Source organism: Homo sapiens, chromosome 3 (assembly GCF_000001405.40).
Source record: "Homo sapiens chromosome 3, GRCh38.p14 Primary Assembly".
Lineage (NCBI taxonomy): Eukaryota > Metazoa > Chordata > Mammalia > Primates > Hominidae > Homo > Homo sapiens.
In genome coordinates, this window is record NC_000003.12 from 51416690 (window position 1) to 51443190 (window position 26501).

General features: G+C 42.1%; 1 protein-coding gene across 43 annotated transcripts in view, besides 1 other annotated feature; it reads right to left on the reverse strand.

Moving 5' to 3' along the window:
- DCAF1 (DDB1 and CUL4 associated factor 1) overlaps positions 1-26501 on the reverse strand; it is a 109773-nt gene that overhangs the window by 20823 nt on the left and 62449 nt on the right. For 37 of the 43 annotated variants that reach the window (XR_007095776.1, NR_146065.2, XR_007095774.1 and 34 more), the window contains 11 exons: positions 24696-25208; positions 24281-24382; positions 16417-16575; positions 13344-13523; positions 12572-12781; positions 10683-10852; positions 5618-5742; positions 3045-4308; positions 1989-2187; positions 1427-1509; positions 98-182 (listed from right to left, as the gene is read on the reverse strand). Coding sequence is in view for 33 of the 43 variants with exons in the window: in NM_001171904.2 (NP_001165375.1) it covers positions 98-182; positions 1427-1509; positions 1989-2187; positions 3045-4308; positions 5618-5742; positions 10683-10852; positions 12572-12781; positions 13344-13523; positions 16417-16575; positions 24281-24382; positions 24696-25208 (3090 nt within the window). In the remaining 10 variants the exon portion in view is untranslated. Of the gene's footprint in view, positions 1-97; positions 183-1426; positions 1510-1988; positions 2188-3044; positions 4309-5617; positions 5743-9220; positions 9320-10682; positions 10853-12571; positions 12782-13343; positions 13524-16416; positions 16576-24280; positions 24383-24695; positions 25209-26501 lie in introns of those variants that run through there. The other 6 variants (XR_007095778.1, XM_047449282.1, XM_047449279.1 and 3 more) reach the window with 2 other exon arrangements.
- Positions 18158-18317: a silencer, noted in NCBI's record as "silent region_14412". NCBI's record gives its function as "represses an Ori minimal core promoter by ATAC-STARR-seq in GM12878 lymphoblastoid cells {active_cell/tissue: GM12878}" and the evidence as "EXISTENCE:reporter gene assay evidence [ECO:0000049][PMID:35858748]".

Sequence of the window (26501 nt, forward strand, 5' to 3'; positions counted from 1 at the left end):
TGCCCAAAGGACTTAGGTCCTCACATTCTATCAAGAAGATTTCAGTATGAACAAATGGGTATGATCAGCTTGAAAACAGTGGTTCTTAAGTACTTACGTGGGCAATGTCTCCTTTTGTGCCGATGACCCGATCCTGGGAGTGCTTACTGAACTCAACATAGTGATCTTCTGTGAAGGAATGCCTATGGACAAACAACAGGAGCACTGAAGTGACAGATCTTCAGGACATATTCCTGCAACCAACTGAAACACAGGTGACCCCCAGCCTCTTGCACAATCACACTCACCTAAAGATCCTGGACTCCCAAAGAGGAAACAATCATACACTTAGATTACAAAGAAAATTCCTTCTATCACCTTAACCAAGCAGATACAAAATAATGAATGGGAATTCCTTAGAGAAATGACAAACAGGGCACATGTGCCTTTGAAACACGCAGCAAAGGGGCCAGGCATGGTAGCTCACTCCTACAATCCCAGCACTTTGAGAGGCTGAGGCAGGTGGATTGTCTAAGCTCAGGAGTTCGAGACCACCCTGGGCAACATGTCGAAACCCTATCTCTATCAAAAATGCAAAAAATTAGCCAGGCGTGGTGGCATATGCCTGTGGTCCCAGCTACTCAGCAGGCTGAGATGAGAGGATCACTTGAGCCTGGGAGGTGGAGGTTGCAGTAGGTCATGTTTGTGCCACCGCACTCCAACCTAAGTGACAGAATGAGACCCCGTCTAAAGAAGGAAAGAAAAGAAAAGGCCAGGTGCGGTGGCTCAGGCCTGTAATCCCAGCACTTTGGGAGGCCAAGGCCAGCGGATCACAAGGTCAGGAGATCAACACCATCCTGGCTAACACAGTGAAACGCTGTCTCTACTAAAAATATAAAATATTAGCCAGGTGTGGTGGCGGGCGCCTCTAGTCCCAGCTGCTCGGGAGGCTAAGGCAGGAGAACGGTGTGAACCCGGGAGGCGGAGCTTGCAGTAGGCTGAGATCGCGCCACTGCACTCCAGCCTGGGCGACAGAACGAGACTCTGTCTCACAAAAAATAAAAAAAAGAAAAAAAAAAGGAAAGGAAAGGAAAGGAGAGGAGAAGAGAGGAGAGAGAAAAGGAGGGGAGGTGAGGGGGGAGGGGAGGGGAGAGGAGAGGAGAGGAGACACAGCAAAGACTGCAATGTCCTATGTGAACATGGGAAAATACATAGATTCTGGGTCGGGGTCTGCTGCATAATGAGAATGTATATACCTCATAAAAGTATCTAGGAATTAAGAAAGATAAAGTCTTATTAAACATGAGTCTTAGATGAGGAAGAGAGAAGTTAACAATAACCGACAGCATCCTCTTTCCCCAAAAGGCTTCCAGTCTAAGAACCAAATGAAGGGGGGTATAAACTAGGTAAATAAAGCACAGACTAGGTTCCAAAAGCAGATACATACTTCATATCAAATACTGACTTCATTCCCCAAAGTGCAGACAAAGGCTGGCTCCAAGTAGCAGATGTCAGCAGCAAGGACCCATCCTAAAAGAAAAAGGCGCAAGGTGGGTAACCACGTATTTACATACATGCAGATGTCACTACCTGCCATTAGCATTTTTAAAGATTTGCATAAAAATGTTGTTGAATTAAAGAGACAATTTTATAATCCCCAGAAACCAAGAAATGGTCAGAAGCCACTAGGATTTGAATACATACACCTATAGTGTCCTATAAAATAACCAAACTTAAGAGAATATTAAATCCTACTGAACTAGCCACAAAAATAGAATAGATAAAAGGGAGGGGGGAAAATGAGAAGATGTCAAAGATGGTTCCTTTCTTCCTACTAACTTTGCCATATTCCTCAGTCTCCATCTGAAATATGAATTAACCTCAACTAGACTTTCCAGTTGAGGACTCATTTAAAAGAGAGAGCTCAATAAAGGGTAAGCCTCCTTTACTCTAGTTCACCAATTCATCTTGGAAGAATGACTGAGAGCATCCTAGGAAGGAACCCTTACCCTGGAAGGTTCAAGATGTGTGATGGCTGAGTTGTGACAGTTATAGCTGGCCTCCTCCTGTCCACTAAACACATTATAGAGCTTCAGCTGCCCTGTGCAGGTGCCAAGCATCAGGAACCGCTCCCGTGCTGAGAATGCACAGCAGGTGAAGCCACTCTCATCTTCATTGGCTTCCCGGAACACTGAAATAGGACGGAATCTAAGCAAAAAAAAGAGAGAATCACAGGCAAAGAATGTGCAGGGACTCAGAAAAAGCAAACTGCTAGGATAGAAGAAAAAGCACAGAACATTAATGTTTCAAATGGCTTCTTCCAAAATCACAGTGACCTTCAGTGCTTTTTATTTTAAATAAGAAAAAGATTTCCACTTACAAATTTAAATAACAAAAATTCCCATGTTTAGGCCAGACACAGTGGCTCATGCCTATAATCCTAGCACTTTGGGAGGCCGAAGGGGGGGTATCAATTGAGGTCAGGAATTCAAGACCAGCCTGGCCAACATGGTAAAACCCCATCTCTACTAAAAATGCAAAAATTAGCTAGATATGGTGGTGCCTGCCTGTAATCCCAGCTACTCAGGAGGCTGAGGCAGGAGAATCACTCGAACCTAGGAGGCAGAGGTTGCAGTGAGCCAAGATAGCACCACTGTACTCCAGCCTGGGCGATAGAGAGACTCCGTCTCCAAAAAAAAAAAAAATTCCCATGTTTAAAACCTGTGATCCCGTAACCTTTATGTAAGATTTGTCAAGAATCAGAACAGGAAGCAACTTGCACCAGCACAAGTTTGGGAGCCTCCTTATGGACAGTAGTAATGAGGGGGTGTGGGTTCTAGAAAACATACTAGTTGAGATGAGAACACAAACGATTATATCAATATACTGCCAACAATCACACAAGGAACCCATGGTTGACAAAAGGTGGTACAATTACATTGTTCAAGTATTACACAAAGTAACAATCAGTGGTATTTCAGGACAACTATGCTGATACTGCCCAGTTTGATTTAAATAAAAGAATCATTCCAATTCCCAGGGAGTAAGAAGGGGCCTCTTCTTACCTGCTAAAGATAAGGTGCCTATCAAAGCATCCGCCATCCACCCCTCCATACTTTGGAAATGATGCCCTGCGGTTTAGCCTTGACGTAAAGTTTATTGGCGCTTGCCGCCTCTGTTTTGGCTCAGGACATTGGTGAGGAGTAAAGAGGGAGAAAGGTGGGCAGGTGGCAACTGGATTCTTGCAGCGAGCATGTTGTTCTCTAAGATACTCTGTGATTATACTGTCCAGCGTAGGTGGGGAAGGAAGATGTCTGTCCAGCTGTTTTTTTATGGCTGGGCTTTGGCTGTAGGCACCATGGTCCGACTTCTGCCGCAACACTCTGATTTTCCTGCCATTGCAGGGTGATGGCCTCTCTCTGATAAAACTGATTCTACCAATCAAAGGGGAGTTGCCTGCATAAGATGGGCCGGGCAGAGCTAGCGGACCCTGGGGGGGCCGTGGCTGAGGATGAGCAGTAGGGGCAGAAGGCGCAGAGGCACCCACAGCAGCATGGCTGCCCAGACGAGTTGCAATGCCATTAGCGATACGAGGGGTTCGGGGTAGAGAGACAGGAGAAGCAGCAGCAGTGACTGGGGTAAAGGCAGAAGAATGGGAGGCAGCAGTCATGGGCAGGTCAGCCTCTTTTGTCAGCACGGTTGCTGTTTCTCCAAGCCCTTTAGAAATAAGATGGTTTCGTATCAACAAAAGCAGCTCTTTCTCAGGGAAGGAGATCCTTGACTGGGCAACAACATCTGCTTTCTGCAGTCGTGCTAGGGAAACATCAGTGCCAATGAGAAGTGGTTTTCCTGACACCCGTTCAATGAGTTCAGCAGCATACTTGCAGAACTTGACATGGTCACTGCGCTTGTCCTGCAGCACAGGCTCCTTCATCAGCTGCTGGATCTGGCAGCTGCTGAAAAGGGGCAGTTTACTGATGATCTGCCGGACAGTGCTACTGCGAGACAGGCCCACTAGGGCTTTGCAGGCCAGGGCCCGGATTTGGTCTGCATCTGTGATGGGCATCTTAATGGACAGTAAGGACAGGAGCACCTTGATGCCGTTGTTGGACTGAACCACATTCCACATCTTGGCCAGGGTGTGCTCACTGCTTTTAGGGTTCTGAGGCAGCTTTCTCCGAGGAGTACCAGAGATAAATTTACCAATACTGGATATTCGGTTATCTGGGCCACACACACAATTGATGATAATCTGAAGTGCTGACTTCTGAATTTCAGCATCATGGATGAAGAACTCACCCTCAGCCACTCCCAAAATAATGCTGATACCTAATGGGAAAAAAAATTATGTATTATTCACCATAAAACTAATGGCCAACTTCAATAGTTGTTCCAGAGTCAAAATTTGGTGTTCTACTCACTTTTACTTTAAAAAACTATATTACTTTTGTAAAAACTGCAAGGGTTTGTATAAAGTGCAGACAGTTCTACTACAATGTATTTTTATGGTATCTCATATGCAGTTATTAAATAGGGAAATCATGTCATAATTATGGAAAAGTAATCAAGGTTCATGTGCAATTTTTTCTGGTTTTATTATTTTTTTGAGGCAGAGTCTCGCTCTGTCGCCCAAGCTGGAGTGCAGTGGCGTGATCTTGGCTCACTGCAACCTCCGCCTCCCGAGTTCAAGTGATTCTCCTGCCTCATCCCTGCAAAGAGCTGGGATTACAGGCGCCTGTCACCACGCCCAGCTAATTTTTGTATTTTTAGTAGAGGTGGGGTTTCACCATGTTGGCCAGTCTGGTCTGGAACTCCTGACCTCAGGTGATCCACCCGCCTCGGCCTCCCAAAGTTTTGGGATTACAGGTGTGAGCCACTGTGCTCGACCTTTTCTGGTTTATTAATTTTAATACACTAAAACCTTAGGAACGGAGAAAGCCCTCGGTTGGGCTGCTACTGTGGAAGCAGAACCCTTTCCACTCTATTTTAAGAAAATTAAAAACCAAGTGCCTGTGTCTTAGTCCTATCCTGCATCTTGTCCCATCACACGACTTCCCATGCTCACCCCAGCAGTGCCCTGATCAGCCTTGCTCTTAATAAAGTATATTATCAAAGTATATTTTCCTTTTTTTATATATGTATGACGGTTTCTACCCATTTTGAGCTACCTGCCAATTACTGACTCAGGTTACAAAACTGCTTACTTTGTTGTTTTTTTTTCCCTTTAACTCCTGGAAAGCTGTGATGCTTAAGTTTTTTACTATCTGCCTCAACCCATTTTTCCCATGAACTTTATTTTTAGTGCAAGACTCTTCAGAGTGTGAGCTTTTCAGGAAAGCTATAATATACCATTATAGCAGAAATGCCAGTACCACTCAGAAAACCTGAGTTTACTAGCATGACTCCCTTACATCAAACTATCTGGTCCTACATTTGTATTTTTGTTTTTTGGTTTTTTTTTTTAAATTAGTTCCTGATCTGCTGAATGGTACTCCTTATAAAGGACAGACAAGGAGCCCCCCTCTACTACTTCTGTTCTAAAATCCAAAATTAGGTCAGGTAAGTAACCAAGACCAGAGTGGCAAAGAAAAAACAAATCCAGACCAAGAAACAACAAAAATGGCAAAGTACAACCTACCTACAGTAGAGACTGTAGATCCAGCCTCATCCAACACGTCCACTGATTCTGCCAACTGGAGCTGGATTTTTGGCACCACAGTAAGAATAGCCAGGACATCCAAAGCAAAGCGCACAGTGTCATTCCTGGACAGGAAGAATTAGTCAAAGGGAAATTAGAGTATAGCCACAAGAATCAAGAGAGACAGAGAGAGAGACACACAGACAGATAGACACATACACACAGAGACAATAAATCAGAAGCACTACCAGTGTGGCTCTATCTCAAGCTGTCGCATCAAGAGAGGATTTTATAGTCACCATGACATTACTTCCAAAAAATATAGCAATGGAATTTTTACCTATTAAACTTCTATGATAAAAAACATAGAATAATCCTGAATCCTTTCATCCTAGTGAAAACATATAGAGACACGTACTCTCAAAGTTTTGGTGAGAGTAGAAATTAGTACACTCTTTCCAGAAAGTAATCTGGAGGCCAGGCACGGTGGCTCAAGCCTATAATCCCAACACTTTAGGAGGCCAAGGTGGGAGGATCACTTGAACCCAGGAGTTTGAGACCAGAATGGGCAACATGGTTTTATCTTTTTCTATAAAAAAAAAATATAAGATATTAGCCGGGTGTGGTAGCACGTGCCTGTAGTCCCAGCTTCTCAGGAGGCTGAGGTGGGAGGATCACCTATGCCCAGGAAGTTGAGGCTGTGGTGAGCCGTGATTACACCACTGCACTCCAGTCTGGGCAACAGAGTGAGAGCCTGTCTCGAAAAACAAAAAAAAAGAAAAATGAAAAAAAAGAAGAAAAAGAAAGTAATCTGGAAATATGAAACAAGATTCTTAAAATGTTCATAAACCTTGTCCTAGAAATTTCACCTCTGACAATCTGTCCTAAAGAAATAATCAGGCCAGGGCCAGGCGTGGTCTCATGCCTGTAATCCTAGTGCTTTGGGAGGCTGAGGCGGGCAGATTGCCTGAGCTCAGGAGTTCAAGACTAGCCTGGGCAACATGGCCAAACCCTGTCACTACTAAAATAAAAATTAAAAAAATAAATTACCCAGGCTTAGTGGCGGGCGCCTGTAGTCCCAGCTACTCGGGAGGTTGAGGCAGGAGAATTGCTTGAACCCAGGAGGCGGAAGTTGCAGTGAGCTGAGATTGAGCCACCGCACTCCAGCTCGGGCCACAGAGAGAGACTCTGTCTCCACAAAAAAAAAAAAAGAAAAGAAAAAAGACTCAGGCCGGGTGCAGTGGCTCACGCCGGTAATCACAACAATTTGGGAGGCTGAGGCAGGCGGATGACCTGAGGTCAGGAATTCAAGACCAGCCTGGCCAACATGTTGAAACCCCATCTCTATTAAAAAATACAAAAACCAGCCAGGCATGGTGGTGGGCATCTGTAATCCCAGCTACTCAGGAGGCTGAGGCAGGAAGAACTGCTTGAATCTGGGAGGCAGAGGCTACAGTGAGCCAAGATCACACCACTGCACTCGAGCTTGGTCAACACAGTGAGACTCCGTTTCAAAAAAAAAAAAAAAAAGAAAGAAAGAAATAATCAGAAGAATTTATGTATTAAGATGTTCATTAGCCACATTAAAATAGCAAAAGAATGAGAAAACCCACATAGACAAGAGCACCATATGTGTTAGAGTATAGTACACTCATAAACTACAGCCATTGACAATCATTTTCAAAGAACCCTAAAGAATGAGGGAAAGGGTTCAAAATACAACATTAATGATATAAAAATAAAAAATGTAAGATATAAAATTAAAAATCTGACAATACCAAGTACTGGCAAGAAAGTAGAGAAATGTTGGATGTCTTTTGTAGTTAAAAAAGAAAAAACCGGCTGGGTGTGGTGGGAGACCAGGGCAGGTGGATCACGAGGTCAGGAGTTCAAGACCAGCCTGGCCAATATGGTGAAACCCTGTCTCTACTAAAAATACAAAAATTAGCTGGGCATGGTAGTGGGCGCCTGTAGTCCCAGTTACTCAGGAGGCTGAAGCAGGAGAATCGCTTGAACCCAGGAGGCGGAGGTTGCCATAAGCCGAGATTGCACCACTACTGCACTCCAGCCTGGGTGACAGAGCAAGACTCTGCCTCAAAAAAAAAAAAGAAAAAAAAAAGTAGAGAAATGAAAGCTCCTATATATTGCTGGTGGGGGATGACAATGGTATGAACATTTTTAGAAGCAATTTGGCAATATCCAATAAAGGTAAGAACACAGACACCCTACAAACCAGATGCTCTACATCATATCCTCAAGAGAGCCTCCAAAAGGAGGTTCATGATACCATTTATTTAATAGCCAAAAAAACCAAACAAAAACACTAAATTAGCCATCAATGGCAGAATAAACTGCAGTATAGAAATACAGCATTTTAAATAAATATCAACATATATAAATCTCAAGAATATAAGGGTAAAAAAAGCAAGCTGTGAAAGATGAACTTAGGAAAATATTTATAATTTAAAAACATGCAAAGCAGTATGACGTTATTATTTATGAACACACAGATATATATAGTATAAAAACATGAGTGGGGAGAATATGGTTCAAATTCAGAAGATGGGTGACTCTGGGGAGGCAGAAAAAGAACTGAGCCAAAAGCAAATACAACAACATGCCAATCCTGGTTAATGATGGAGCAGTTGTTAAACTATTCTCTGTGCCTTTCTATGTTTTGAAAATATTCATAAAAAAGATGAATTTGATTAAAAGTATAATATTAATTATGTGTATTTGCAAATATTACGTAGTGAATGCTAAGAGTAATTTTCTTTTCTCTTTAAAAGATTCTGCATATTCTAAAGCAGAAACATTTATTAATTTTATTTCTAAAAATAAATTTTTAAAATCAAGGACATATTTTTTCAATAATCCAAATACAGGCCGGACCGTGTTTCATGCCTATAATCCCAGCACATTGAGAGGCTGAGGCAGGCAGATCACTCAAGGCCAGGAGTTCGAGACCAGCCTGGCCAACATGGCAAAACCCCGTCTCTACTAAAAAATGCAAAAAGTAGCTGGGCTTGGTGGTGCGTGTCTGTAATCCCAGCTACTTCAGAGACTGAGGCACAAGAATCACTTGAACCTGGGAGGTGGAGGTTGGAGTGAGCCAAGATCCTGCCACTGCACTCCAGCCTGGGCAACAGAGCAAGACTCTGTCTCCAAAACCAACAAAAAAATAAATAAACACAGATGTACCAGTTTAAAAAATGTATTTATACCCTTTCTAGTTATCTTGTAAGCTGTCATCTTTTTTTTTTTTTTTTTTTTGGAGACAGAGTCTTGCTCTGTTGCCCCGGCTAAAGTGCAGTGGCACCATCTTGGCTCACTGCATTCTCTACCTCCTGGGCTCAAGCAATCCTCCCACCTCAGCGTCCCTAGTAGCTGGGACTACAGACATGCGGCAACACACCAGGCTAATTTTTTTTATTTTTGGTAGAGATGGGGTTTCACCATATTGCCCAGGCTGGTCTCGAACTCCTGATCTCAAGCAATCTGCCCGTCTCAGCCTCCCTAAGTGCTGGGATTACAGGTATGAACCACCACGCCTGGCCTATCATCACTTTTTAAACAATTCTCCAAATAAATATAATAACCTACTTTTCCAATATTCTAAAACAGCACTTCTCAAAGTATAGTCTGGAGACCTCTAGAAGTCTGAGACCCTTTCAGAAGGTCCTGTGAAGTCAAAGCTATTTTCGTAATAATAAGATGTCACTTTCCTTTTGCACTCTCATTCTCTCATTGCATAGTAAGAGAGTCTTCCAGAGATGATGTGATGTCACAAAAACTGAATACAGAAGCAGATATGAGATATTAGGCCAGACATTTTTTCAAACTTGCTAAAATTATCTGGTTTTATTTTGGAAATTTTTCATGAATAACGCAAACATGCAATGGGTTCACTTTTTTTTTTTTGAGATGAAGACTTGCTCTGTCGCCTAGGCTGGAGTACAGTGGCGTGATCTCAGCTCCCTGCAACCTCTGCCTCCTGGGTTCAATTGATTCTCCTGCCTCAGCCTCCCAGGTAGCTGGGACTACAGGTGCGTAACACCACCCCCGGCTAATTTTTCTATTTTTAGTAGAGATGGGGTTTCACCACATTGCCCAGGCTGGTCTCAAACTTCGGACCTCAAGTGATCTGCCCACCTCGTCCTTCCAAAGTGCTGAAATTACAAGCATGAGCCACTGTGCCTGGCCCACATTTTTAATGCATAAATATTTTTACATTTTCTGTTTTAATTTCTAATACTGATAGATATAACACAAAAACAAAAGCCTTTTAGAGTTCTCAGTAATTATTAATATGGTAAAGGTATCTTGAAACCAAAAAGTTTAATAACACCTGCTCCAAGAGTACCTTACAATATTTAAATGCTGGGATTTAACAAACTTACTATATTCCCCTAAATAAGCCCCTCTCTTATCTTTATGGCAGTGAGTGAATAGGAAAAGAAGGTCAAGCACTCTGTTTATAAACTTTTTTACTATCTTCTCTTAAGACCCCATCTTTTTCAAAACAGTTTTATTTCTTTTTATATCATCTTCAAATAGAACCTACCCAGTTTCCTGATTACATCAGCCACCCTTTTCTGGGCCTTGTCCTGCTCTGCCTTAAACTAATTTGTGAAAATCCTAACAGTATGTCGAATTCCAAGAGTAAAAGGACAATTTTATATGAACGTAATATAAACATTATATATGGTTGTCAAGTAGTAGCAAGACACTTTAAGTACTAAAGAATCCTGGACTCCAGGCTCAAGACAAGACTTTAACCCCAGCTCTGCAGCTGTGGCCGTGTAAATCATGTACCTTCTCCGACAGTACAGAGGCTAATCCTTGCCTATTATGCAAATTTTACAATCACCAAGACCATATATATGAACAAGTGTGCTGTAAATTAAAAATCATATTTTCATGCCTAATCTAATTTCTCAGATTCAAGTCCAAAATTTCAATTCAATTCAACAAATGTTTGTTAAGCATATACAATGTGCAAACCAACATCAACTTTAACAAAAAGATGCATCAAACTTCATTTGAAATCTCTCTCTGGTCCCACCTTGCATAATAGGTCTTCCAATTGCAGGCAATAGAAATAAGCTGCAACAAGAGTTGCACACAAGAAAGTTTGAGGAAAACTTCAGCTGGTTCCCAATATAGCTGCGCTGGGCCATATTCTATCAAAAATTCCATCATTTCCACAATCTGTTCATGAGTATATGAGCATGCCTATAAGGAGAGATATATAGTATTATTATTATATATAACTCTACATCTGCCTACTACCTCCTTGAGCACAGCTCACTGGCCAAGAGATTTTATTTTATTTACTTATTTCAAGACAGGGTCTCACTTTGCTGCCCAGGCTGGAGGGCAGTGGCTTGATCACGGCTCACTGTAGCCTCAATCTCCCAGGCTCAAGCTGCCCTCCTGTCTCAGCATCCCAAGTAGCTAGAACCACAGGCACATGCCACCACACCCAGCTAATTATTTTATTTTTTGTAGAGACAGGGTCTCATTTTGTTGCCCATGCTGGAGTGCAGTGGCATGATCATAGCTCACTGCAGCCCTGAACTCCTAGACTCAAGCGATCCTCCCACCTCAGCCTCCTCAAGTGCTGGAATTACAGGCATGAGCCACCATGCTTGGCCAAGGTTTTAATTATAAATTAAATAATAATACCTTTCAAATTCCACAATTCTTGAGTCAAAAGCCCATATGTGAAGTAATGACCATAGATTGCTTAATCTTTTATCTTATTTATAACTAGACTCACAATATGATTTGTCCAAAAAGATAACAAAAGTTTCCTTTGTGCATATAAGTTACAGCTTAAGAGAAAGAAGCATCATGTGACTGATTTCAATTTGTGACTTTTTTTTTTCTTGAGACTGGTTCTCACTCTGTTGCCCAGACTGGAGTGCCATAGCCCGATCACGTGCGGCCTCAAACCCCCAGACTCGAGTGACTCTCCCATCTCAGCCTCCCAAGTAGCTGACACAGGTGTACCACCATGCCCTTTTTTTTTTTTTTTTTTTTGAGACAGTCTCTGCCCAGACTGGAGTGCAGTGATATGATCGTAGCTCACTGCAGTCTTGAACTCCTGGGTTCAAATGATCCTCCCACCTCTGCCTCCCAAGTAGCTAGAACTACAGATGCACACCACAGGGCCCAGCCAATTTTTAAAATTTTTGTAAAGACAGGGTCTCACTATTGTTGCCCAGGCTGGTCTCAAGAAATCTGCTGGTGATTTTTTAAAAAACATGCAGCTACTCGTCATTATCCCAAAACATATCAAATTCCACAATGATAGTGAAGTGGAGTTATAAACACATTTTCAGAAAAGAAATTCTGCACAGAAGGCAAATCATCTAGTACTTTTCATACAAAAAAGCTCTTTGCCAGGTACAGTGGCTCACACCTGTAATTCTAGCACTTTGGGAGGTCGAGGTGGGAGGACTGCTTGAGTCCAGGAGTTCCAAGACCAGCCAGGACAACATAGTGAGACCCCCATCTCCACAAAAAAATTTAAAAATTAGCTGGGTGTGGTGGTGTGTGCCTATAGTCCCCCAACTACTCAGGAGGTTGAGGTGGGAGGATCACCTGAACCTGGGAGGTTAATGTTGCAATGAGGTGTGGTCACATCACTGCACTCCAGCCTGGGTGACAGAGGGAGACGTATCTCAAAAAGAAAAAAAGAAAGCTTTTTTATACACACTTCAGTTAATCTTTTAGTTCTAGAATCCCAGCAACTTACAACTGGAAGCAAAATAATTCCCTGAAATTCACCTATTACATCCATTTTTCAATTGTTCTGCCTTCATACAGGGAAGTATACTCCAACAATGGACATAGCACAGAGTCCACTGATCTGAATGTGAGTTTCAGGACTGAGATGCTACAGAGAGGGCTAACAGAACTTTCCCTTTCAAGGCAAGGTCCTCTCACCTTGTACGGGGGTTGTGGGTGGACAAGAATGCCACCCTCAGTCCTCTGAAGTGACTGCTTCACTTGTTCCAATTTAATGGCCAGGTGAGCCTCAAAGTATTTGCGCAAGGCCATGCAGGTATGTTTCCCAGTTTGGCGGCTAGCAAATATTTCATCATCACTCAGAAGTGCACCCTGATCTTCCAAATTTAGAATCTCCAAAGTACTGATCTATTAAGATGCAAAATATTGGGGCAAAAGAGGGGAAAAGGCAAGAAGAGTTAAGTAAAAATATTTAAAAAAGGGAAAATATTTTAGTAAACTTTTTTTACTTTCCATACATATTCTGCTTATGTATCAGTAAACTTTTATGCTTAACAAGACTGACAAATATCAACGCATATTTATGTATATCTATGTATATAGCATGCTAACAGTAGCTATATGAAAGCAAAACATTAAACTCATACCAAAAAATGAACAAGCTTTTAATCATATTAAAAAATGTACAGGAATAAAACTATTGCTTTTACAAAGATCAAGATCATCAACTGCCAATCCCCGTTATAAGATTACTATATCCAAGGCAAGTCTACAACGGCACAGTGTCCTCTAACTACTAAAGAAAAAGAGAAATTTGTGAAGAAAGGGAAAAAAAAAAAACTTCACAAAAAGAATGGCAGCAAAACTCCTCTAATCAGAAGCTTCCTTTCTTCAAGGGTGTGCCGTTAAAGGGCAGCCAAGACAACCAGGACCCTCAATCCTAGGGAGAAAAGCACTGAAAGAACCTCACCAAGTTCACCAGACGACGAAGACCATCATAGCGGTCAAAGAGCTCCAAGACGGCCCGAAATGAGAAGCAAATTGAAAAAAACATGGTAGCATGGCAGCATCCTGAAGCATGAGAACACTCCATTAACCACAGGGTATAGTTCACCACATCAGACAGAACATTGTGGGGATGCATGCAAACCTGCAAAAAAATACAAATAAAACAATGCTTTTAAATTGTGGGCAAAGGAGCCCTTGAACAGGATGGAAAATTTGCCAGTATAGATATCTGCAGAATACAATGACCATCTCCAATCAAGTCACTCTTAGTACAAAGTTTAGGTAATAATACAAAGGCAATTTTAGAACACGATCCATTCCAAACCTGAAAACGACCTAAATTTAGATAAATATTTAAATACAACCTATACTTACTGAGTGCCAACAAATATTTACATCATTTAATGCTCACGAGGGCTCCATTATACAGGTATTAGGATTCTCACTTAAAAGAAGAGGAAGAGGTAAGGAACTTCTCCAAATGTGATAAAAGTGGCTCAGATTTCTGATCCTAAGTCTAGGAGTTTGGTATTCATTCTCTGGTTAATTCACACACATTTTGATGTCTACTATGGGTCAGAAAATGAAACTGTAAAGCATCCCCAGGTTTCCTTGATATTTTTTTCTCTATCTTAGCCATAAGTAATTTTGTATGTACACACATAGATTAGTTTATTACTCCCAAAAGACTACCTATCTTGCATAAACACCAAAATAAAAACAAATTAAAACTGATATTATTAATAAGCAAAGATAAATAATGTCATAGCTCGAGAAGAAATTACCCATTTCACTCTACCAGAAAAGACACCAAATAAGAATATTAGAAAAATGTCCCAGAAATAGAAGTAACAAGAGCTTTGCTTTCCTAGGGGATCACAGGAGCCCATCGCTTTTCAAATGTATAACCCACAGCCTGGGCAAAATGGCAAAACCCTGCCTCTACAAAACACGCAAAAATTAGCCAGGTGTGGTGGTGTGCCCTTGTTGTCCCAGCTACTTGCGAGGATGGTTTGAACCCAGGAGGCCGAGGCTGCAGTGAGCCAAGATCATGCCACTGGACTCCAGCATAGGCGACAGAGCCAGACCCTGCCTCAAAACAAAAACAAAAACAAAAAACCACATACGTATGTGTAACCCATTTACACTTTTTAAAAAATCACAAGGCCAGGCACGGTGGCTTATGACTGTAATCCCAGTACTTTGGGAGGCTGAGGCGGGTGGATCACTTGAGGTCAGGAGTTCAGGACCAGCCTAGCCAACATGGTAAAACCCCGTCTCTACTGAAAAAAAAAAAAAATTAGCCAGGCATGGTGGCACGTGCCTGTGATCCCAGCTATTCAGGAGGCTGAGACAGGAGAATCACTTGAACCCAGGGGGCAGAGGTTGCAGTGAGCTGAGATCCCGCCTCTGCACTCCAGTCTGGGTGACAGAGCAAGATTCCGTCTCAAAAAAAAAAAAAAAAAAAGATTATATATGAAAGAGTCTTAACTACAAAAACAGTAGAACCAAATGGAAAACCTCTCTGCAGCCCTAGGAACAGTTGGGATGGTTTTATTATCTCCATAACAAACTATTTGTTAATATAAAACAAGCATCAGCTGAGTGTGGTAGCCCATGCCTATAATCTCAGCACTTTGGGAAGCCATGGTGGGAGGAGTACTTGAGTCCAGGCGTCGGAGACCAGCCTGGGCAACATGGTGAAACCCAATCTCTACAAAAAGTACAAAAAAAAAAAAGAAGTACAAAAATTAGCCAGGTGTGGTGGTGCACGTCTGTGGTCCCAGCTACTTGGGAGGCTGAAGTGGGAGGATGGCTTGAGCCCAGGAGGTCAAGGCTACAGTGGGCTGTGATCACACCACTGCACTACAGCCTACAGCCTGGACAACAGAGCGAGACCCTGTCATTAGAAAAAAAAAAGGCCGGGCATGGTGGCTCACGCCTGTAATCCCAGCACTTTGGGAGGCCAAGGTGCGGGAATCACAAAGTCAGGAGTTCGAGACCAGCCTGGCCAACGTGCTGAAACTCTGTCTTTACTACAAATACAAAAATTAGCTGGGCACAGTGGTGGGCGCCTGTAATCCCAGCTACTTGGGAGGCTGAGGCAGAAGAATTGCTTGAACCTGGGAGTTGGAGGCTGCAGTGAGCCAAGATGGCACCACTGCACTCCAACCTGGGAGACAGAGCAAGATTCTGTAAAAAAAAAAAAAAAAAAAAAGTATAAAAAGTAGCCAGGCATGGTGGCACAAGCCTGTAGTCCTAGCTACCTGGCAGGCTGAGCACTTGGGCAATAGGGCAAGACCCTGTCTCTAAAAATACACAAACATATACACCCCTATATACGATATAAACGTGTGTGTGAATGAATCAGTGAGAGACTAGGTCTGTTGTGTGTTTTTTTTTTTTTAAACGGAGTCTTGCTCTGTAGCCCAGGCTGGAATGCAATGCCACAGTCTCGGCTCACTGCAACCTCCGCCTCCTGGGTTCAAGCAATTATCCTGCCTCAGCCTCCCAAGTAGCTGGGATTACAGGCACCTGCCACCATGCCCAGCTAATTTTTGTATTTTTAGTAGAGACGGGGTTACACCATGTTGGCCAGGCTGATCTTGAACTCCTGACCTCAGGTGATCCACCCACCTCGACCTCCCAAAGTGCTGTGATTACAGGCGTGAGCCACTGCGCCCGGCCTGTTGTTTTTACAATAACTCATAAATGTCATTGCACTAAGACATCGGAAAAGTGCCTGAAGGCTAATCTTAATGCCACAGAAATGGCAAAAACTAAATAAAGCTCCCAGACTCCAATCCACCCAGCATTTTCCCAGAAGAGTCAGAAAAAAATAGAACCATTTCTAAACAATTTTACATTTTTAGAATGCTTTATAAAGACTAGACTTTCATGTTCCTTGTTTCATTAAAATTTATTCCTTCAACTACTGTTTTTTTCTTATCCAAAAGTCATTCTGCGAATGTGATCTTTTAAAGAGGTTATCCCCAACCTAATCTCATCCCCACAAACCTGTATAGATGACTTACTCTTTCCATGGCATCCTGATTGTAGGATAGGTAATACAAACACATAGACACACCGGTTGCAGCCATAGAAGGACGAGGTATTTCCAGTAATTTCTGTACTCCACCATGCGCAACAAATTCTGTGGCAAATTTGTTATGGAGCAGGAGAGATGCTAGGTGCTAAAAAATGAGGACACAAATTACCACAAAATAATCTAGAAAATTAACAAAATCTCTTGACCTAATATTCAGTTAAGCTGTTAAATACAAAAGCCCTCTAAGGAGACAACCAACCCCTCACAAAAGAAAACCCAGTATTATTTAAAGTAAATAAAAAGACTAAGATTCCTTAACATTCCTCTTTTCTTTCCTAACACCAGGAAATTTTTTTTTTGAGATGGAGTTTTGCTCTTGTTGCCCAGGCTGGAGTGCAATGGTGCAGTCTTGGCTCACTGCAACCTCCGCCTCCCAGGTGCAATCGATTCTCCTGCCTCAGCCTCCCAAGCAGCTAGGATTACAGATACCCGCCACCACGTCCAGCTAATTTTTGTATTTTTTAGTAGAGACGGGGTTTCACCATGTTGGCCAGGCTGGTCTTGAACTCCTGACCTCAGGTGATCCGCCCACCTGTGCCTCCTAAAGTGCTGGGATTACAGGCGTGAGCCACCATGCCCAGCCTGATTTTTTTATGAAGGTGAAAGATATTGCTGTAAGGGCTGGGTGCAGTGGCTCACGCCTGTAATCCCAGCACTTTGGGAGGCCAAGGTAGGCAGATCACTTGAGGTCAGGAGTTCGAGACCAGCCTGGCCAACATGGCGAAATCCCGTCTCTACTAAAAATACAAAAAATTTGCCAGACGTGGTGGTGGGTGCCTGTAATCCCAGCTACTTGGGAGGCTGAGGCAGGAGGATCGCCTGAACCCGGGAGACGGAGGTTGCAGTGCACCAAGATTGCACCACTGCACTGCAGCCTGGGCGACGGAAGGAGACCCTGTCTCAAAAAAAAAAAAAAAAATTTACTATAAGTAATGATATTGGTCAGGCAGGGTGTCTCACTCCTGCAATTCTAGTACTTTGAGAGGCCAAGGTGAAAAGACTGCTTGAAGCCAGGAGTTCAGGGCCAGCCTGGACAACATAGCACAACCCCATCTCCACAAAAAATTTAAAAATTAACCAAATGCAGTGGCGCATGCCTGTAGTCCCAGTTACTCAGGACGGTGAGGTAAGAGGATCGCTTGAGCCGGGGAGTTCAAGGCTGTAGTGAGCTAGGATCAATTGCACCACTGCACTCCAGCCTGGGTGACAAAGTAAGACCCTGTCAGTCAATCAGACAATCAGTAACCCTACAACCATTTTACTATTACATATTTAGGTTGGTGAAAAACTGCAGTTTTTGCCTTTGAAAGCAATAGCAAAAACCGCAATTACTTTTGCACCAACTTAATAGCTTCCCTAATGGACTTTTGCTAACTTTCCCATTTTAATCCTTTTAATATAAATAGCTCTATATCCTAGCTTTTGCTCAGTGAGTCATCAACTAATGAATTCCCAAAATCTGCCTTCCTTTAAATTGATCAATATATCCCCAAAAGAAGAATCTTGAGCAAAGTATCTAAACAAGTATATTTTTAGAACTAACCACGTGCATTTTAAATAGATGTCTTAAAGTTTTTTTATTTTTTAAGGTTTTTTAACTGCCTGTTCAAGTCCCACTAGCCTCTCTGGGTGGAGATCTCCTGCACAATGTTATGGGCAAAGAGTATAATCCAAGCAGCAGGCTGCTTGATGACTCTGAACCTAGGCCAACATAGACAGGGCCTTGGGAAAGCTAGAGCTCCCCCTACTGTTTCCCATGCCAAGGTGTCTTCCAGGTACCAACAACATAGATTTGTAATTACATGATATGATATCTGCACAAATCTCACCAAGGTCAATGGAAAAAACAGGGATGTGCCCTCTTCAAAAGTTCTCTCAATAACCAGGCTCAGGCTAACCCTTATATATAATTCAAATCCCTTCTATCATTAACCTACTTTTTGTTTGTTACACAACACTCTACCACACTTCCACCCACTCCTTCTCCCAAGATGCAGCTAAACTGTGTGACACCCATTATAATTCTCCACACAAAAACCTTTAAAAATAGCAACTGCCCAATCCCTTCTTCCACTGCACCTTGTTCAGGACCAGAAATTGCAACTGAAAGCAATATCCTTGGGCCACTGGAGACAACTTTGACCTCCAGCTTCATCCCACTGTGCAAAGTATAACCATGAGCTTACACACTTTATATATACACACACACCAAATCCCACATGTAGAGACACGTTACTCTAATTACATCTGACCTCCTCCAAACTTGAAATTTCTGAAAGTTGAAAGGCAAATTTCCTCATTTCTATTCCATTTCAAAATACTTTGGAACTGTACTACTTTGGCCAACATTGTGAAACCTAGCCTCTACTAATAACACAAAAATTAGCCGGCCATGGTGGCACACGCCTATAATCCCAGCTACTCAGGAGGCTGAAGCAGAATAATCACTTGAACCCGGGAGGCCAGGGTTGCAGTGAGCAGAGATCATGCCACTGCACTCCAGCCTGGGTAACAAGAGCGAAACTCTGTCTCAAAAAAAAAAAAAAAATTATAGGTTTATATGTCTGTCTTTCTTAACAAACCGTAAGTGACAAAGACTTGATTTATTTATTCACTGGCCTCCTTGTATCCCTCGTACCTGAACATAAGTATCTGGCCCATAAAAAACACTCAATAAATGTTCAGCAAAGAACAAAGACAAAAATAAAGTTGCCAAGTGGTAGTAAAATAAGCAGTTCGGCAAAGGGAAGATGATTAAAGAAAAAGCAAGGAGAGTGTTGTGTCAAGATCACCGATGTGCACATCACAAAGTTTGATCCGACCTTGGTCCCAGAGTCTTCATAAATGCTCACTGAAGAAAATTCCCAGGATGATTCGGGGGCCTCTCAAAACTTCTGCTTCAAGACGTTGATAAAGAACCTTAGTAACTTGACTATACACCCCAGTACTGAATTCCCTTCCCATCTACCAGAAAATTCACCCCAACAACAATATACAGGAGCAATGATGCTCAGGGAAATCAGAGATGACTTGCTCTACATGAGAGGGGTAAGAACACTGCTGTTTGCATAGAAAGAAAAGGATGGCAAAATTGAGATACATGTTACTCAGCAGAGTTCTAGGCTTGAAAGAGAACTAACAAACACTGGGCTTAAGAGAGTTCAGAATGAATCAAGTAGTGGACCATTCAGATGTTGCTGCAGTTTCTGCATGTATAACCAATGGGATCCTTCTGAGGATGCTAGAATACGGAATTATGACACTGAGCCATGTCAGCCATAACCCTTATTCTTGTACTTTTCTTTCTTGCTAGTAATTTTATGCAGCAGGGTGAAAAAGCTACCCTATGCTAGGATAGACTGTATACCAATAATTTTGAAATGAGTTCTAGGATGTATTTTTCTTCTTGTATCTTTCCTTCCTATCATGATACTAATAATTTATAAAGGATCTGTGTAGTTTGAACGTATTTTAATAACTTCAGTATACTTTAGCTCTACTGTTTGATTTGACCCAAAGAAGCACCAAGAGGACAAAAGTATTCCCATGTGTTTTAGAAGCCCAAAGTCAGTGAGACAAAACCCAACATCAAGAATTTGAAACAAACTCACTTGTGGGGAAAGAACGTAAAGAGACCGTTGGGTAGTTTGCCTAGAGCATAATAGATTTTCTGGCTTTCAAAAATTTGGACTGCAATAAGATGAAACTTTGTGCTATTTTCACAATTTTCAGTACAAATAAAGGTATGTATAGAGAAATAATAAAGTTGACATATTTGAGTGTCTTTTAAAAAAAAGAGAGAGACAGGTGCAGCGGCTCACGCCTTTAATCCCAGCACTTTGGGAGGCTGAGGCAGGCGGATCCCTTGAGGTCAGGAGTTCGAGACCAGCCTGGCCAATATGGTGAAACCCTGTCTCCACAAAAAATAAAAAAAGTAGCCAGGCGTGGTGGCACATGCCTGTAATCTCAGCTACTTGGGAGCCTGAGACAGGAGAACTGCTTGAACCCGGAAGGCAGCGGTAGCGGTGAGCAAACATAGCACCACTGCACTGCACTCCAGCCCAGGTGACAGATAAGACTCCATGTCAAAAAAAAAAAAAAAAAAAAAAAAGAAAGAAAGAGCAAGAAGACCCCAAACTCAGTAAAGGGAAATTATTTCCTGGGTTGCAAAGGGGCTGAACATGGGAGGGCAAGTAAGATAAGCAAGATCCCCACTTATCCATGATGACTAAGCTGATCTGAATGGAGCAATGTAGTTGAATGAATAACAATGTGGCTATCATACAGTTCTCAACAGGTAACTACTGAGAGATGAGGTCATTAAAATTACTTTTTTATAAAATGTATAACAGGGGGCTGGGCACAGTTGCTCACATCTGTAATCCCAGCACTTTGGGAGGGTGGCAGATGGAAAGCTTGAGCCCAGGAGTTCGAGAGTAGCTTGGGCATTATAATGAAACCCGGTCTCTACCAAAAATACAAAAAATTAGCTGGGCAGGGTGGTGCGCACCTGCAGTCCAAGCTACTTAGGAGGCTGAGGCAGGAGGATGGCTTGAGCCTGGGGGGTGGAGGTTGCAGTGAGCCAAGATCACGCCACTGCACTCCAGCCTGGGTGACAGGGTAAGACCTTGTCCTCAAAAAAACAATAAATAAAATAAAATGCATAACACAAACAACATTGTTGCAGTCTAGTCACTACGCCAGAAAAAAAAGAAAAAAGAAAAAAGAAAAAGAAAGAAAACACTGTAACAATCCTGGAAACCCAAACAAAAGTAATATTCAGTCTCACTTATAACAAAGTAACTTATCATCTTTGTGTTCCATTCAAATCTTGGCTAGTTTTATACCTGTTATATGTTCATCTTAAAATTTTACTTATTACATATTCATTCATTCTTTTCTGACTTCTGCATGCCCAAAATTTCCCTGAAAGTTTGGTGTGGTTATGCATTTTTTTTTAACTGTAATTTCATTTTAAAATTAAACTTTAGCCCAGCAGGGTAACTTCAGTTTTTCATGAAAATCCTTATTTCCATGGTTCAAGAAACAAATATTAAGAGAATTCATTCACTTACTAAGTGACTACTATTTGTTGATTGCTTACGATATACCAGTCCCTGTTCTAAGCAGTAGAAATACAAAGAAAATAACCTCAAAATTATATGCAAAGATGTTCACTGTAACGTCCTTTGTAACAAAAAAATAAAACGGCATAGGTATCTCACAAAACTAAAATAAGAAAATTACAGAGCATCTAATTTGTATAGAACAACCATATAGCTACATGTAAACATTCTTAGGATACAAGTGAAGTTGAATTGTAAAGTCTAGCTAACAATTATTTTCAAAGCAACTGTGTCTATTAATAAAGATTAGAATGAAGCACAAAAATAAAAAGTTATTTTAAGTGAGACTGTGAATATTATTTTCTTTTGGCTTTCAGGATTGTTACAATGTTGTTCGCTGTTATTGCCCAGGCTGGAATGCAATGGCACGATCTCAGCTCACTGCAACTTCCACCTCCTGGGTTCAAGCGATTATCCTGCCTCAGCCTCCCGAGTAGCTGGGATTATAGGCATGTGCCACCACATCCAGCTAATTTTGCATTTTTAGTAGAGACGGGGTTTCTCCATGTCAGTCAGGCTGGTTTCAAACTCCTGACCTCAGGTGATTCACCTGCCTCAGCCTCCCAAAGTGCTGGGATTACAGACATGAGCCACCGCGCTGCGCCGAAGTGTTATATACATTTTTTTAAAAAGTAATTTTAATGACCTCATCTCTCAACAGTTACCTATTGAGGAGAACTGTATGACAGCTACATTGTTATTCATTCAACTATCTCTCTCCATTCAGATCAGCTTAGTCACCTTGAATTAAGTGTGGACCTTGTGAATTAGACTTACTTGCCCTCCTATGTTTAGCCCCTGTGAAACCTTTACTGAGTTGAAGGGTCTGCCTGTTTTGTTTTTTTCAGAGACAGAGTCTCACCCTGTCGCTCAGGCTCACCCTAGTGATCTTAGCTCACTGCAACCTCCGCCTCCCGGGTTCAAGTGATTCTCATGCCTCAGCCTCCTGAGTAGCTGGGATTACAGGTGCAAGATACCACGCCAGGCTAATTTTTGTATTTTTTGTAGAGACCAGGTCTCCCATGTTGACTAAGCTGGTCTCAAACTCCTGGGCTCAAGCTATCCTCCTGCCTCAGCCTCCCAAAGTCCTGGGATTACAGGCGTGAGCTAACGTGCCTGGCCTGTCTGCTATTTCTATTTTTTTTTTTTTTTTTGAGACAGAGTCTCACTCTGTTGCCCAGGCTGGAGTACAATGGCACGATCTCTGCTCACTGCAACGTCCACCTCCCGAGTTCAAGCGATTCTCCCACCTCAGCCTCCTGAGTAGCTAGGATTACAGGTACCTGCCATCATGCCCAGCTAATTCTGTCTGCTATTTCATTACTCATTTTCTGGTTTCTATTTTGTTAATCCTAGGTAATTTTACATTATACAATATGTACATAGTTTAAAAAATTTTTTTGTGGCCAGGCGTGATGGCTCACTCCTGTAATCCCTACATTCTGGGGGGCTGAGGCGAGTGGTTCACTTGAGGTCAGGAGTTTGAGACCAGCCTGGCCAACATGGTGAAACCCTATCTCTACTAAAAATACAAAAAATTAGCCAGGCATGGTGGCAGGCACCTGTAATCCCAGCTACTCAGGAGGCTGAGGCAGGAGAATTGCTTGACCCAGGAAGCGGAGGTTCCAGTGAGCAGAAATCACACCACTGCACTCCAGCCTGGGCAACAGAGCGAGACTCCATCTCAAAAAAGAAAAAAAGAAAAAATTGTTGTTAGCTGATACAGGTAATATCTAAAAAGTAGGGCATAAGCAAGCACTATTTCATAGTTTTTCCTCTCCTATTCAGCAACAACTGAGGCCACCCCATGTCTAGATTCACTTTTTATCTCAACGTTCAGCCTTTTAGATTAACACCTAAGTTTCTGTAGAGATAGTAAGCCTCCTCTCTTCTATCTAAACAAGAATGTTTTGATTGTTACTATTCTGATGCATCTGGCTATAGAAATAACTTGAGCAATAAAATGCAGAGAAATTACATGCTAAAACACACAGGCACATCTCTGTCAATAAAATGCTCAGTGACACAGGGTATGGTGGCTCATACCTATAATCCTAGTACTTTGGGAGGCCAAAGCAGAAGGATTGCTTCAGTCCAGTTTAAGACCAGCCTGGGCAACATAGCAAGACTATCTCTATAAAAATTTTTTTTAAATTAGCTAAGCATGGTGGCATGCACTTGTCTCAGCTACTCAGGAGGCTGAGGTAGGATTGCTTGGGCCTAGGAGTTCAAAGCCACAGTGAGCTATGATCACCCCATTGCACTCCAGCCTGGGTGACAGAGTGAGACCTATCTCTAAAAATAAATAAGTAAAGCTTCACCAGGCGCAGTGGCTCACGCCTGTAATCCCAGCACTGTGGGAGGCCAAGGCGGGCAGATCACTTGAGGTCAGGAGTTTGAGTCCAGCCTGGCTAACATGGTGAAACCCCATCTCTACTAAAAATATAAAAATCAGCCATGCACGGTAGCATGTGACAGTAATCCCAGCTACTCGGGAGGCTGAGGCAGGAGAATCACTTGAACCCAGGAGGCGGAGGTTGCAGTGAGCCAAGATCGCACCACTGCACTCCAGCCTGGGCGACAGAGTGAGACTCCATCTTAAATTTAAAAAAAAACAAAGTTTTTAAAAAATCCCCGGTGACCCAATATTTTTAAGAACTTTACCTTTAGTGCCTCAAATGTAAGCAGGACATCATTAGTTTGCTTCAGGTCAATATAGAACATCATCAGCTCCCGTGATCCAAGTTGCATGAATATGGGAAGTAGCTGAAATGAACACCAAATACAAGTCTTAAATTTTGGCTTTATTGTCATGTATTTCCTATTCCACTCTTTGAGGATAGAAGCCTAAAGAAATGATGCACCTCTTCCTCCCTCCCTGTGAAGATAAACGTGTAAATGCACTTTAATCAAATAGACCATATCAGGAATGACCTGCATAAGACTTGAACAGTTTCATGCAAACCCTTGTTTGTGGTAGAGTTAGAATATATCTTTGTATAAAATACTACCATAAAATACCACAGAAATGAACACAATAATTCCTATGTGTGAACAGTACTCTTCCCAATAAGCTTACCTCCTGATATTCTCCTAGAGGGGTCAAATATTGGAGAATGAGTCGCTGCTCGATAGCAGGAGTCATAGGATAAAGGGTATAATTGGTGCCAATCACCCAGGGAGACATTTCTGACCAACTGCTATTAGACAGCTCAACAAACATGCGATCTGGATCAGAAGATGAGAAACCCAACTTTTGCTTGGCTTTCCTAAAGTTCTCTCTGTCACCCTGTTTTGCTGACTTGTTTTTCTTTAATCCTCCATCCTCAGGTTTGGTTGTTGAGTTCACTCTGCTACTAGTCTTGTGGCCTGAATCAAGATGAAAGGAGATCTCCATGTCTCCAGAAGCTTCCTCTTGGTCTCCATCCACTACATCTACAGCCATGTCACCATAGTCCATATCCACAGCCTCCTCATCCAGAGGCAAAAGGGGTTCAGAAGAGAGCTTCCGTGGACTGGGACGCTTGTTTTCCTGCCGCAAAGCCACTTCCTGTAGCTGTAGCTCCCTCAGTCTTCGAAGCACTATTGCCACCTATCAACAGATAATTGGAGAAAAAGGGGGTGCCTCTTTATTAAGGATTAAGTAATCCTTAATAATTCTTATTTCCACATAATAACTGGAGACTCATGCAGTGAGCCCAACGCCTGTAATAGCAACAATTTGATAAATGCGTTGCTTTGATTCCTATAAGTTGATGAAATAAGTAACAGCTAAGTATTGTTCCTCATAAAATTTTCCAGAGAATCCAAACCAGAAGATTTGCACATAAAATACATCATTGACAACTGATCTGTTTGGGTCAAGTTGACCTGGACCATCACACCTGAAGAGGCAGAAATTAGATATATTCATGATTTTTCTAATGTGTCTTTGAAAACCAAACATGAAAGTTTCTCAAACTTTTATCTACTGTAGGTTGTATTCCATTAGATATTGCCATGTATATTATACATAACTACATTATCATTTTTCAAGTTCTTTTTTAAGTACATACTTTTTGGGCCAACGCTATAAAGTGGTACTGTGTTTCATTTTAAAGAGAGAGGGATGGCCAGGTGCGGTAGCTCACGCCTGTAATCCCAGTAATTTGGGAGGCCAAGATGGACGAATCACCTGAGATCAGGAGTTTGAGACCAGACTGGCCAACATGGTGAAACCCCGTCTCTACTAAAAATACAAAAAATTTCCAGGGTGTGGAGGTGCTCGCCTGTAATCCCAGCTACTCGGGAGGCTGAGACAGGAGAATCACTTGAACCCGGAAGGTGGAGGTTGCAGTGAGCCGAGATCGCGTCATTGCACTCCAGCTTGGGCAACAAGAGTGAAACTCCGTCTCAAAAAAAGAAAAAAAAAAGAGAGGGATTTTGTGTGCACTTTACTTTGAACTGCGTTTTTTAAATCAGAATAGTGGATAGATAAAAGGAAGGGCACTTGGAAGCTGTTATCCTCAGCAAACTAATACAGGAAAAGAAAACTAAACACCGCATGCTCTCACTTATAAGTGGGAAATGAACGATAGGGACACACTGAGGGGAACAATACACACTGGGGCCTATCGAAGGGGAGTGGGAAGAGAAATCAGGAAGAATAGCTAATGGATGCTGGGCCTAATACTTAGGTGATGGGTTGATCTGTGCAGCAAATTACCATGGCACATGTTTACCTATGTAATAAACGTGCACATCCTGCAGAAGTACCCCAGAACTTAAAATAAAATTTGATGGGGGGGAGGGAAAAAAAAGGGCAGATGGATGGATATTATAAGTGTTCACAATCAATTTAGGTGATGTATATATGTAGTTGTTCACTGTAAAATGCTTTCAATTT